The sequence below is a fragment of the Homo sapiens genome, chromosome 17 (genome assembly GCF_000001405.40).
Source record: "Homo sapiens chromosome 17, GRCh38.p14 Primary Assembly".
Taxonomy (NCBI): Eukaryota; Metazoa; Chordata; class Mammalia; order Primates; family Hominidae; genus Homo; species Homo sapiens.
The window spans coordinates 48,091,967-48,105,485 of NC_000017.11; the positions used below are offsets into that span (position 1 = coordinate 48,091,967).

At 47.7% G+C, this 13,519-nt stretch overlaps 1 protein-coding gene across 2 annotated transcripts in view, besides 5 other annotated features; it reads right to left on the reverse strand.

Annotated features, from left to right (window-relative positions):
• Nucleotides 1–9,512, reverse strand: part of CBX1 (chromobox 1) — a 31,420-nt gene extending 21,908 nt beyond the window's left edge. The window contains exon 1 of one of the 2 annotated variants that reach the window (NM_001127228.2): nucleotides 9,302–9,512. The gene's annotated coding sequence lies outside the window, so the exon portion shown is untranslated. Of the gene's footprint in view, nucleotides 1–8,788; nucleotides 9,221–9,301 lie in introns of those variants that run through there. The other variant, NM_006807.5, reaches the window with a different exon arrangement.
• Nucleotides 2,013–2,602: an enhancer, noted in NCBI's record as "H3K27ac-H3K4me1 hESC enhancer chr17:46171341-46171930 (GRCh37/hg19 assembly coordinates)". NCBI's record gives its function as "activates a minimal SCP1, AML or CMV promoter by ChIP-STARR-seq in naive H9 embryonic stem cells {active_cell/tissue: H9 hESC(naive)}" and the evidence as "EXISTENCE:reporter gene assay evidence [ECO:0000049][PMID:30033119]".
• Nucleotides 9,245–9,844: an enhancer, noted in NCBI's record as "NANOG-H3K27ac-H3K4me1 hESC enhancer chr17:46178573-46179172 (GRCh37/hg19 assembly coordinates)". NCBI's record gives its function as "activates a minimal SCP1, AML or CMV promoter by ChIP-STARR-seq in naive H9 embryonic stem cells {active_cell/tissue: H9 hESC(naive)}" and the evidence as "EXISTENCE:reporter gene assay evidence [ECO:0000049][PMID:30033119]".
• Nucleotides 9,245–9,930: a biological region, named in NCBI's record as "NANOG-H3K27ac-H3K4me1 hESC enhancer GRCh37_chr17:46178573-46179172".
• Nucleotides 9,251–9,300: a silencer, noted in NCBI's record as "silent region_8649". NCBI's record gives its function as "represses an Ori minimal core promoter by ATAC-STARR-seq in GM12878 lymphoblastoid cells {active_cell/tissue: GM12878}" and the evidence as "EXISTENCE:reporter gene assay evidence [ECO:0000049][PMID:35858748]".
• Nucleotides 9,671–9,930: an enhancer, noted in NCBI's record as "active region_12326". NCBI's record gives its function as "activates an Ori minimal core promoter by ATAC-STARR-seq in GM12878 lymphoblastoid cells {active_cell/tissue: GM12878}" and the evidence as "EXISTENCE:reporter gene assay evidence [ECO:0000049][PMID:35858748]".

Consider the following 13,519-nt stretch of genomic DNA (forward strand, 5'->3'; position numbering starts at 1 on the left):
CCATGCCCAGCCAGATCTTTTTTTTTTTTTTTTTTTTTTTTGAGATGCAGTTTCACTCTTGTCACCCAGGCTGGAATACAATGGTGCCATCTTGACTCACCACAACCTTCGCCTCCCAGGTTCAAGTGATTCTCCTGCCTCAACCTCCCGAGTGGCTGGGATTACAGGCATGCGCCACCATGCCCAGCTACTTTTGTATTTTTAGTAGAGATGGGGTTTCTCCATGTTGGTCAGGCTGGTCTCGAACTCCTGACCTCGGGTAATCTGCCCGCCTCGCCCTCCCAAAGTGCTGGGATTACAGGACTGAGCCACCATGCCCGACCAGATCTTCTACCTTTTAATACTATCTATTAAAAAAAAAATAAAATTAGCGAGGCACTGTGGCTCACACCTGTAATCCCAGCAGTTTAGGAGGCCAAGGCAAGGGTTGTGGAGTGGTTAAGGCCATGAGTTTCAGACCAGCCTGGGCAACACAGCAAGACTCCATCTCTCTCTCTCTCTCTTTTTTTTTTTGAGAGGGAGTCTTGCTCTGTTGCCCAGGCTAGAGTGCAGCTATCTTGGCTCACAACCTCCACCTCCCGGGTTCAAGGGATTCTCCTGCCTCAGCCTCCTGAGTAACTGGGATTACAGGTGCCCGCCGCTGCACCTGGCTAATTTTTCTATTTTTAGTAGAGACAAGGTTTCACCATCTTTGCTAGGCTGGTCTCGAACTCCTGACCTCGTGATCCACTTACCTCAGACTCCCAAAGTGCTGAGATTGCAGGCGTGAGCCACCGCACCCAGCTGCGAGACTCTATCTCTAAAAGATTAATTAATTAATTAGGCCGGGCATGGTGGCTCAGGCCTGTAATCCCAGCACTTTGGGAGGCCGAGGTCGGCAGATCACCTGAGGTCAGGAGTTTAAGACTAGCCTGACCAACATGGAGAAACCCAGTCTCTACTAAAAATACAAAATGAGCCGGACGTGGTGGCGCATGCCTGTAATCCCAGCTACTCGGGAGGCTGAGGCAGGAGAATCGCTTGAACCCAGGAGGCAGAGGTTGCAGTGAGCCGAGATCACACCATTGCACTCCAGCCTGGGCAGCAAGAGCAAAACTCTGTCTCAAAAAAAAAAAAAAAAAAAGAAAAGAAAAGAAAAGAAAGAAACAAATTAGTTGGGCATGATGGCAGGCGCCTGTAATCCCAGCTACCCAACTACTTGGGAGGCTAAAGCAGGGAGAACTGCTTGAACCCAGGAGGCAGAGGTTGCAGTGAGGCCAGATCACGACACTGCATTCCAGCCTGGGCAATAGAGCGAGACTCTGTCTCAAAAATAAAATTAAAAAAAAAAAAAAAAGACACAGAAGACAGGTCTCGAAAAAAATTTACAAAAAGGTAAACAATGCAAGTTCAAGTGAGAGTCCGAAATGGCAAGCATACATAATTACCAAAAGCAGTATAAGCAATAAAAAGTAGCCATAAACGCACTATAGGAGGTTGGAGGAAGAACTGGCGAGGGCATCAGTAAACATTTTGAAAAGCTGAGTTTGAAACCAGGCTTTACTAGCATTTGAAAAGGTGTACTGGTAGGGCAATTTGGCTTCAGGAACTGTTGTAAACAAAGGCAATGTGACACATATAAACCAGTTTGGGCTGGAGCTGACTGAATAGGAAATATTTTCTACAAGGTTTCCTCCCATTTAAAACAAAAGGCCAAAGTCGTCAGTGTAACACTTATATTCTTCGGTTCTTATTCCAGACTAATTATGTCCCTTCTTCCCTCACAAAATCTACATTCCTGTCAAAGACTATAACCTGGCCACAACCTGAACATATCCTATGTTTCCTCCATAGCTTTGCTCATCTATTAAGTATTAAGAAGTGTGGGCTTAGGCCCGGCATGGTGACTCACGCCTGTAATCCCAGCACTATGGGAGGCTGAGGCAGGCGAATTACCTGAGGTCAGGAGTTCGAGACCAGCCTGACCAACATGACCCCATCTCTACTAAAAATACAAAATGAGCTGGGTGTGGTGGCGCATGCCTGTAATCCCAGCTACTCCAGAGGCTCAGGAAGGAGAATCGCTTCAACCTGGGAGGCGGAAGTTGCGATGCGCCAAGATCGTGCCACTGCACTCCAGCCTGGGCATCAAGAGTGAAACTCTGTCTCAAAAAAAAAAAAAAAAAAAAAAAAGAAGTGTGGGCTTGGTAGGGCGCAGTGGCTCATGCTTGTAATCCCAGCACATTGGGAGGCCAAGGCAGGTGGATCACTTGAGGTCAGGAGTTCAAGATCAGCCTGGCTAAGATGGTGAAACCCCAACTCTAGTAAAAATACAAAAATCATCCAGGTGTGGTGGCACATACCTGTAATCCCAGATAGTCAGGAGGCTAAAGCAGGAGAATTCCTTGAACTTGGGAGGTGAAGGCTGCAGTGAACCAAGATTGTGCCACTGCACTCCAGCCTGGGATACAGGACAAGACTCTGTCTCCAAAAAAAAAAAGTGTGGGCTGGGCTCTGTGGCCCACACCTGTAATCTCAGCACTTTGGGAGGCCGAGGTGGGTGGATCCTTCAGGCTAGGAGTTTGAGACCAGCCCAGCAACATGGTGAAACCCCGTGTCTACTAAAAATACAAAAAAAAAATTAGCCAGCATGGCGCACCTGTAGTCCCAGCTACTCAAGAAGCTGAGGCACGATAATTGCTTGAATCCGGAAAACGGGGTTAGGATGCAGTGAGCTGAGATCGCGCCACTGCACTCCAGCCTGGGTGACGGACCAAGACTCTGTCTCAAAGGAAAAAAAAAAAAAAAAAGTGTGCTCCTGACTGGGCTTGGTGGCTCACACCTATAAATCAGTACTTTGGGAAGTCGAGGCGGGTGGATCACTTGACGCCTGGAGTTCAAGACCAGCCTGGCCAACATGGTGACACCCCATATCTACTAAGAATACAAAAATTAGCCAGGTGTGGTGGTGCATGCCTGTAATCCCAGCCACTTGGGAGGGTGGGGCACAAGAATTACTTGAACCAGGCAGGCAGAGGTTGCAGTGAGCCAAGATCTTGACACTGCACTCCAGCCTCAGTGACAGAGCAAGACTCTGCCTCAAAAAAAAAAAGAAAGAAAAAAGAAAGTAGTGTGCTCCTGTACAGGGCCAACAGTCAAAATCCTATCCATTCTTCAAGACCCAGCTTAAAAATGCTACTTTCTCCATGAAGCCTACCCAACCTAGCTAAATAATATTTCTCTTTTCTTTGGGGTTCCCAAAGCATTCTGTTTCTATTTTTACTTGCACATACAATTAAAGGTAGGTCTGGAACCTGAACAAGTTGTTGAACCCTATATGGACAATAAAGATGGATGTCTCAGGTGGGGCGCGGTGGCTCACGCCTGTAATCCCAGCACTTTGGGAGGCTGAGGCAGGCAGATCTCCTGAGGTTGGGAGTTCGAGACCAGCCTGACCAACATGGAGAAACCCCATCTCTACTAAAAATGCAAAATTAGCTGGGCATGGTGGTACACGCCTGTAATCCCAGCTACCTGGGAGGCTGAGGTTGCGGTGAGCTGAGATTGCACCATTGCACTCCAGCCTGGGCAACAAGAACAAAACTCCATCTCAAAAAAAAGAGGATGACTGTCTCAGAAGCATCAGGGAATAGAATTCCAAAGCTATAAGCTTTTAAGGGAATAAGCAGCAAGATAAATCTGATCCATAAGCCCTAAAGAGAAAACAAGAAAGAAGTACCTTTTGTTGAAAGAATCAGCAACTACATACCAATCATCAAAAGGCAGGTGAAGGCATGTGTAGTATATTCAGGTGGTAGTCTTGTTTCTAAACTGCTTGTAGTCTGTAAGCTGTGGCTGTTTGCGAAGCAAATGCTTTCCAGATGGAAAACTTGACTAAGCAGAAAACAAGAACTTATGCCACACACAGTTAGCAGGAGTTTCTTTTTTTTTTGGAGATGGAGTCTTGCTCTTTCACCCAGGCTAGAGTACAGTGGTGCAATCTCGGCTCCCTGCAACCTCCGCCTCCCAGGTTCAAGCAGTTCTCCTGCCTCAGCCTCCCGAGTCACTGGGATTACAGGCATGCACCACCACGCCCAGCTAATTGTGTATTTTTAGTAGAGACGGAGTTTCTCCATGTTGGTCAGGCTGGTCTTCAGTTCCCACCTGAGGTGATCCACCCATCTAGGCCTCCCATAGTGCTGGTATTATAGGCGTGAGCCATCACGCCCAGTCAGGAGTTTCATTTTTAAAGGAACACCAGCCCTTGAATTCCAGAGGATCAAAGGCTAGAATGCTGGTGTGCGAATACATTTTGAATTTTATCTGAGATGTGTTCTGAAACTTGGAAAACCCCTTGAGTATGTTGACATGGATATTTTGACACAGATTTTTGGGTTGAGAGGCCACAAGAGTCTACAAATGTTAGTATGGACACAGAGATACCTCAAGCTATCTTTCAAAGGTGAATTTAAGATAAAATAAAAGTGGTTAGAAAGCTAGACCAGAATTATGACTACATTGGAAACGTATCAGAACACCACAGTGGCCAGGCATGGTGGCTCACACCTGCAATCCCAGCACTTTGAGAGGCTGAGGTGGGTGGATCACTTGAGGTCAGGATTTCAAGACCAGCCTGGCCAACATGGTGAGACCTCATCTCTACTAAAAATACAAAAAAAGTTAGCTGGGCATGGTGGTGTGCACCTGTATTCCTAGCTCCTCAGGAGGCTGAGGCAGGAGAATCACTTGAACCCGGGAGGTGGAAGCTGCAGTGAGCTGAGTGGAGTGCACCACTGCACTCCAGCCTGGGTGACAGAGCAAGACTTGTCTAAAAAAAGAAAAGAAAAACAAAAACCACCACAGTGGGCCAGGTGCAGTGGCTCATGTCTGTAATCCCAGTACTTTGGGAGGGTGAGGTGGGAAGATTACTTGAGGCCAGGAGTTCGAAACTAGCCTGGGCAACATAGTGAGTCCCTGCCTCTATTTATGTGAGAAAAATAAAAGTTCAAAAACCCCCACCACAAGTTGGGCGTGGTGGCTCACGCCTGTAATCTCTGCACTTTGGAGGCCAAGGAGGGTGGATCACCTGAGGTCAGGAGTTGAAGACCAACCTGGCCAACATGATGAAACCCCATCTCTACTAAAAAAATACAAAAAATTAGCCAGGCGTGGTGGCAGGCGCCTGTAATTCCAGCTACTTAGGAGGCCTGAGGCAGGAGAATCACTTGAACCGAGGAGGCGGAGGTTGCAGTAAGCTGAGATTGCGCCACTGCACTCCAGCCTGGGCAACAAGAGCGAAACTCCGTCTCAAAAAAAGAAAAAAAAACGCCACCACATTGTACCCCATAAGGATACACCATTCTTGTCAGTTAAAAATTAATACTATAGGCTGGGCGCAGTGGCTCACACCTGTAATCCCAACACTTTGGGTGGCCGAGGAGGGTAGATCACCCGAGGTCAGGAGTTCAACACCAGCCTGGCCAACATGGCAAGACCCCCATCTCTACTAAAAATACAAAAATTAGCCGGGCGTTGTCGGGGCCCCCTGGTAGTCCCAGCTACTCCGGAGGCTGAAGCAGGAGGATCGCTTGAACCTGGGAGGCGGAGGTTGCAGTGAGCTGAGATCGCGCCACTGCACTCCAGCTTTGGCGACAGAGCGAGACTCTGTCTCAAAAAAAAAAAAAAAAAATTAATACCATAGTTCTGTTACGCACTCAAAGTGTCAACTATTATTTTAAAAGGCACAATTTCACAGACAAATTAGGTTGCCCCCTTCTGGTCATCAAAGTATAAATGCTAAAGGCAGGAAAGATTTAATACAAGTTATTCTATGCAAATATTGACAAGATCTAAATTTTGTCCATATCTGAGTAACTTCTCCAAATAACCTTGGAAAGGCTATTCAATTTTTCAACAGACATTGCTACTGGTAAATTATTGCTCAGGTCAATACAAAGGACACAGAAGATTTTTCAAGATTCTTTTAAAACAGATATATTCAAGCTATTTGCTTGCTGACAAAACCCAGAATCTGAGGCCTGAGGTATTTAAAACGGCCAGTTGCACAGCCTGTATACCTTTTCTATATTTAGTACCAGAGTGAGTACAAAACTGAAGCTAACCATTCTGGGCAACAGAGACTGTCCCCACAAAAAAGAAGCCATGCATGGTGGCATGAGACTGTAGTCCTAGCTACTCAAGAGGCTGTGGTGGGAGGACTGCTTGTGTCCAGGAGGTTGAGGCTTCAGTGAGCCATGATGCCACCACTGCACTCCAGCCTGGCAACAGAGCGACACTCTGTCTTAAAAAAACAAAAAACAAACAAACAAACAAACAAAAAGAAACTAACTGAGGCTAAGACAAACATGGCAAAGCAACAGCTTAACTCTGCCAAATGTCACAGACACAGGACAAGCAAACTACTATGCACATTAATTTGGCTGAGTTCTCAGAATGGATCTCAAAGCTCCCCTATTCATCATTCATTCATCAACAATCTGAACGGCCTACTATGTGCCAGGCACTAATGAACAAGAGGTGCGTCCCCATTTTTTCATTTTTCTTTTTTTGAGACAGAGTTTCGCTCTTGTTGCCCAGGCTGGAGTGCAATAGCGCGATCTCGGCTCATGGCAACCTCTGCCTCCCGGGTTCAAACGATTCTCCTGCCTCAGCCTCCCAAGTAGCTGGGATTACAGGTGTGCACCACCACGCCCAGCTAATTTTGTATTTTTAGTAGAGATGGGGCCAGTATGGCTCCATTTTATGGGAGCCCATAAACTAGCAATTAGCCTTCTACACCAGAAACTCTTCGTGGAAAGAACCTATGAAGTGAAAATCTACCAAATCTAATGCAAAATCTCTTACACCACTGCAGATAGGATTTTTTTTTAAAAAAGGGAGGTTTTGCTAGATAAACCACTAGAGGATGCCAAAATTTAATGAATTATTTTCAAATGGTGTGAACAACAAAGAGAAACATTTTCCTAGTCCTTAAAATGGGCACAAGAATGAGTGCTATCTTTCTTTAGAGGTATAGTTTGTAAGTTATAGGTATCCTGTATTCAGAAATGCAGAAGACCAGGGTAACTTACTTACCACTAGGCTTCTATTTACATTCAAAACTATTTATTTCACACACCATCTATCTACCTATCATCTATCTTTTCTTTTTTTTGAGACAGAGTCTCGCTCTGTTGCCCGGGCTGGAGTGCAGTGGTGCAGATCTCGGCTCACTGCAACCTCTGCCTCCCGGGTTCAAGCGATTCTCCTGCCTCAGCCTCCCGAGTAGCTGGGACTACAGGCATGCGCCACTAGGCCCAGCTAATTTTGTATTTTTAGTAGAGACAGGGTTTCACCATGTTGGTTGGCCAGGATGGTCTCGATCTCTTGACCTCATGATCCGCCCACCTCAGACTCCCAAAGTGCTGGGATGACAGGCTTGAGCCACTGCGCCCGACCCTACTATTTATTTTTTTAATGAGAAACAATTTAGGATACAGCAGCCATTGAAGAAAAATATCACCACAGGGAAAACCGTAAACGACTTCAGGTCCTCCACTCCCGTGAAGCTTCATTAAGGTGCCACCGGTTTCAATACAAGTGCTTTTCAATCACACCACTTTCATATAAAAGTCTATAAGGCACCTAGGGAGGAACACCGGCATTAATTTCCCCATTGTATTCCTGAATCTATTCCAAAGCCTTGGACCTTTCACAATCTTTCCAAACTGCTGATGTGACTCTTAACACAATTGAGGAGGCTACTTTACCCTGGGCTAGGGGTTCTAGTATATAACTGATTATAGCTGAACTTTTTGTAAATTCCACCTCAATTGCGTTAAACCAACACGTCTAAATGTAACACCAATTTATGAAAAACCCTCATTTGAAACTTTGAAAAAGAGGTAAAATATGGCCAGGCGCAGTGGCTCACGCCTATAATCCCAGCACTTTGGGAGGCCGACGCGGGAGGATCACGAGGTCAGGAGTTCGAGACCAGCGTGACCAGTACGGTGAAACCCCGTCTCTACTAAAAATACAAAAATTAGCCGGGCGTGGTGGCGTGTGCCTGTAATCCCAGCTAGTCGGGAGGCTGAGGCAAGAGAATCGCATGAATCCGGGAGGTGGAGGTTGCAGTGAGCCAAGATCGCACCACTGCACTCCAGCCTGGGCAACAGAGGAAGACTCTTCTCAAAAAAAAAAAAAAAAAGAGGTAAAATATAGCTCACTCTATTCAAATTTTCCAACAAGGAAAAGCTGGCTAAAAACAGAAGGGCCCACGAAACAAATATTACCTCACAATCTCACATAATTTTCCTATGTCTCCCAATTTCTCGCACCTCACACGATCTCACAATCTCTCACTACCTCACGCCGTTCCTCAACTATTAACTCATCTACATATTTTTACAATTTCATCACCTTTGTGAGACCAGTTACGATCCCACACAAAAACGTACGGAACTAATTTTGAATCAAAGCAAGAACTGCACTTGGACTTTTTTAACTCCCCAAAGGAATCATGGAGTGAAGGTAGTAGGAAACCTGGAAAACTGAAAAAAGCGTATTCCATCCTTTCTTCGCACATTATTCTTACAGCCTCCCCACTGTAAGGACCCATCAGGATGCAAGGGCGGCCTGCTTTCCCCTTTTTTCTTACATACCTTATAGAAATATTCTCGGGATCTCCGCCCTACTTATCCTAACAGCTCCTCCCCTTCCAGAGTCAGGCCCAGCAAACGCCTGCCCCTCCCCCTCCGTGTCCCCTTTCCCAATTTATTCCACACATCTCCTCCTCCAATCAGCACACCTTGTGCGGCCCTGGGCCCTCTTCCAATTCACTCGACGTTACTCCTCCGTAGTCCTGCAAAGCCAGGTTCCTCTGGCAGTCCCAGCCGGACCCGGCGTCTTCCGAATACAGTTACAAACCTCGGGTTGTGCGGTCGTATGCGCCTCCTCACGCCTATCCAAGCCTCAAGCCTGTCCCCTTCCGCCCTATCCCGCAGCCGCCCAGCCAAGCAACATTGTTCCAGACCACCCGGGCCCCGAAGAGCGGCCCCCAAGTGCTCGGCCCACCCCCAAGCACTCAGTCTCTGGCTCAGGATTCGCGCCCCGCCCTCTCCATCCTTCACGCAGCTGGCACCGACGCCTCAGCGACAGGCGAAGAGCTCAGCGCGGGAAGCGGAGAAGCAGGACGCTGGACCCGGGCGCGCTCCCCGCTCCTAACCTCCGCCTCGAAAGCGCGTTCCCTCACGCAGGGCTCCCGCCGCCGCCGCCGCCGCGCCCCCTCCCCCAGCTCTCCCGCCTCCAGCGGGCTCCTCACCTCAGAGCAGCGCCCAAGAGCCCGAGAGGAATCGGTGCTGCGCTGCTGGCGCGTCGCGTCGGGTCGCCTGGGGGAGTGGCGCCCAGGAAGGCAGCAAGCCGGGTGGCCGCAGTGGCGTCCCTCACTGAAGCGGCGTACCGCAGGCCCCGGCCAACGGCCCTCCCCTCAGCCGAACAAAAGAGCCTCGCAGTCTGCGCTGCCCGCCGCTCGCACCGCGCAGGCGCAACGACCCGCCGCACGGCACCATGGGCCTCGGGGGTCTGTCCAAGACTACAAGGCCCGAAGCGCCGCGCGCCGCGCACGCACAGTAGGCGAGGGTGGTAGGGACTTATAGTTTTTAAACTGTAACGGTGGAGAGATTGCAGCGTAGAGCGTTGTAACCTAGAATATTAGAACATATGGGCCAGGGGCAGTCGCTCACGCCTGTCATCCCAGCACTTTGGGAGGCCGAGGCGGGTGGATCACCTGAGGTCAGGGGTTCGAGACCAGTCTTACCAACAAGGTGAAACCCTGTCTCTACTAAAAATGCAAAAATTAGCCGAGCGTGGTGGCAGGTGCCTGTAGTCCCAGCTACTCAGGAGGCTGAGACAAGAATTGCTTGAACTTGGGAGGCGGAGCTTGCAGTGAGCCGAGATCCAGCCACTGCGATCCAGCCTGGGCGATGGAGCGAGACTCCATCTCAAAAAAAAAAAAAAAAAAAAATTAGAACATATGATTTTTATAAGCGAGCCCCCTGATGCTTGGCCCCCAAAAAATCAACCACTTCTGGACAGTTCTGTAATTCACATCCTCAAAATTTTTGAATCTTAGATTCTTCACCAGAACTTTATCATATCGCCGCTGCCTCAAATTTCCAATGATTTCTTAGTCCTCAATCTCTGCCTCCTCAAATCTCTGTAAAATTCCTACTCACGCCGGCACGGTGGCTCAAGCCTATAATCCCAACACTTGGGGAGGCGGAGGTGGGTGGATCACTTGAGGTCAGGGTTTCAAGACCAGCCTGGCCAACATGGTGAAACCCCATCTCTACTAAAATACAAAAATTAGCTGGGCGTCGTGGCGGGCGCCTGTAGTGCCAGCTACTCGGGAGGCTGAGGGAGGAGAATCGCTTGAACCCAGGAGGTGGAGGTTACAGTGAGCCGAGATCGCGCCATTGCACTCCAGCCTGGGCAACAAGAGCGAAACTTCGTCTAAAAAAAAAAATACTGTTCAGTGTTAAGATTACTTCCCCTTTGAGGTCTTCCCTGATTCCCTAGAGTAGGTTAGGTCCCCCCATAGGCCTCTCATAGCTTCCTGAATTTCCCCCTTTTCACTGGCTGCGCCACAAAAATGTCCTCTTTTTCATTGTAAGTTGTGCTCACCTTTTTCAGTGTCATTAATCTCCGTCAGCACCTTTCACCCAATCATCCCAAGGAAACACACAATTAGGAAAAAAACATGTTTTTAAGCCACAATATAACTAAAGTTTTATTTTTTTATTTTAAAGTATCCTTCTAATCAGGAGGAAGAGGGAAACTCTATTGCACTCTACCCCAAAAGGCAAGAGTTTGCATTTATAAGACAGTTTTGCTGATGCAGGCACTGTTCAGGGCAGGAGTTTGCATTTATAAGACAGTTTTGCTGATGCAGGCACTGTTCACGGCTCTGGAGAACTGTCATGTAAGAAAAACCCAGCCCAGCAATATCATAATAGAGTTTAGTTAAAAGGGCTTCAAGAAAGCACAGAGAAGATGAGAGGTGAAGCCAGCTGGACTTCCTGGGTCGAGTGGGGACTTGGAGAACTTTTCTGTCTTACAAGAGGATTGTGAAATGCACCAATCAGCGCTCTATACCTAGCAAGGGGATTGTAAAATATACCAATCAGCACTCTGTAAAAACACACCAATCAGCCCTCTGTAGCTAGCAAGAGGATTGTAAAATGCACCAATCAGCACTCTGCAAAATGCACCAATCAGCGCTCTGTAAAATGCAGGAATCTAAAAGTAGCCAATCACAGGGAGGATTGAAAAAAGGGCACTCTGATAGGACAGAAATAGCAAATGGGCAGGGACAAACAAGGGTGTAAAAGCTGGCCCCCTGCCCCCCACCCATTCCTGTTAGCCCGCAGCAGCAACCTGCTCAGGTCGGTTTCCACGCTATGGAAGCCTTGTTCTTTCGCGTTCTTTCGCTCTTCACAACAAATCTTGCTGCTGCTCACTCTTTGGGTCCCTGCCAGCTTTAAGAGCTGTTTTTAACACCATGAAGGTCCGCGGCTTCATTGTTTAAGTCAGGGAGACCACAAACCCACCGGAAGGAATCAACTCCGGACACAAAGAGAGCAATTCTTCCTGAAACATTTGGGCTGGGTTTCTAGGAAGAAGCAAGTGAGAAGCAAGCATCTCCTCACTTCCTCCTGTAGTGTACTGTTTTTGACTGATGATGATGAGAAAATTAGTTGTAATGATAATTAGCTACTATTAATGAGTGCTTTTTTTGTTTTTTTTCCCTGAGGTGGAGTCTTGCACTGTCGCCCAGGCTGGAGTGCAATGGCAAGATCACGGCTCACTGCAACCTCCGCCTCCCGGGTTCATGCACTTCTCCTGCCTCAGCCTCCCAAGTAACTGGGATTACAAGTGCATGCCACCATGCACAGCTAATTTTTTTGTATTTTAGTAGAGACGGGGGTTTCACCATGTTGCCCAGGCTGGTCTTGAACTCCTGAGTTCAGGCATCCACCCGCCCAAAGTGCTAAGATTACAGGCGTGAGCCACCACTTCTGGTTTATTTTTTATTTTATTTTATTTATTTATTATTATTATTATTTTTTGAGACGGAGTCTAACTCTGTCACCCAGGCTGGAGTGCAGTGGCATGATCCGGTTCACTGCAACCTCCACCTCCCAGGTTCAAGCAATTATCCAGCCTTGGTCTCCCGAGTAGCTGGGATTACAGGTGCCCACCACCATGCCCAGCTAATTTTTTTGTTTCCCGAGACTGAGTCTTGCTCTGTCACCCAGGCTGGAGGGCAGTGGTGAGATCTCGGCTCACTGCAACCTCCACCTCCCGGGTTCAAGCAATTATCCAGCCTCAGTCTCCTGAGTAGTTGGGTTTACAGTCGCCCGCCACCGTGCCTGGCTAATTTTTGTAATTTTAGTAGAGGGAGGTTTCACCATGTTGGCCAGACTGGTCTTGAACTCCTGACCTCAAGTGGTCCCACTGCCTCCGCCTACCAAAGTGCTGGGATTACAGGTGTGAGCCACCGCACCCAGCCTTAATTTTTGTATTTTTAGTAGAGACGGGTTTTCACTGTGTTTTCAGGCTGGTCTTGAACTCCTAACCTTGTGATCCCCCCGTTGCAGCCTCCCAAAGTGCTGGCGTTACAAGTGTGAGCCACCACACCCGGCCTATTTTTTTTTTTTTTTTTTTTTGAGACAGGATGTTACTCTCTCTCCTAGGCTGAAGTGCAGTAGTGCAATCACGGTTCACTGTAGTCTCAACTTCCCAGGCCCAAGTCATCTTTCCCCCTCAGCCTCCTGAGTAGCTTTGAGCCACACCTTACTCAGCTAATTTTTTCTATTTTGTAGAGCCAGAGTCTTGTCACATTGTCCAGGTTGGTCTGGAACGCCTGGGCTCAAGCAGGCCTTGACCTGTCTCGGCCTCCCAAAGTGCTGGGATTACAGATGTGAGCCACCATGCCTGGCCATAAATTCTTGATTGATTTAATCTCATTTCTATCTAACACCCAAACCATATTTCTGTCTACATAAAATGCTGCCATCCCTAATTCCTTGTATTGAGCTGAATTCTGCTCCCCATGGAGATGCCACCTATTTTCCCTAATTCTGGCATCTGTAGCCACACAGTAAGCCTTATCTTTCTTTCATATGTTTCTTCTAATATTGAAGTTCAGCCATCATGTTCCCTGAGGTCTCTATTTAAATGTCATCATTTTCCTAAACTGTACATTACAGGGCAACAGTTTCAGATGTATCATATTTATTGTGTTAGTAAATTCTGGCTCTTATATGTGTGTTTCAAGGTGGAGAGGGCCATCACTGCCTTTGTCCTGTATACCATTCTTTTTTTTTTTTTTTTTTTTTTTTGAGACGGAGTCTCACTTTGTCACTAGGCTGGAGTGCAGTGGCATGATCTTGGCTCACTGAAGCCTCTGCCTCCCGGGTTTAAGTGATTCTCCTGCCTCAGTCTCCCGACTAGCTGGAATTACAATCACACACCACCA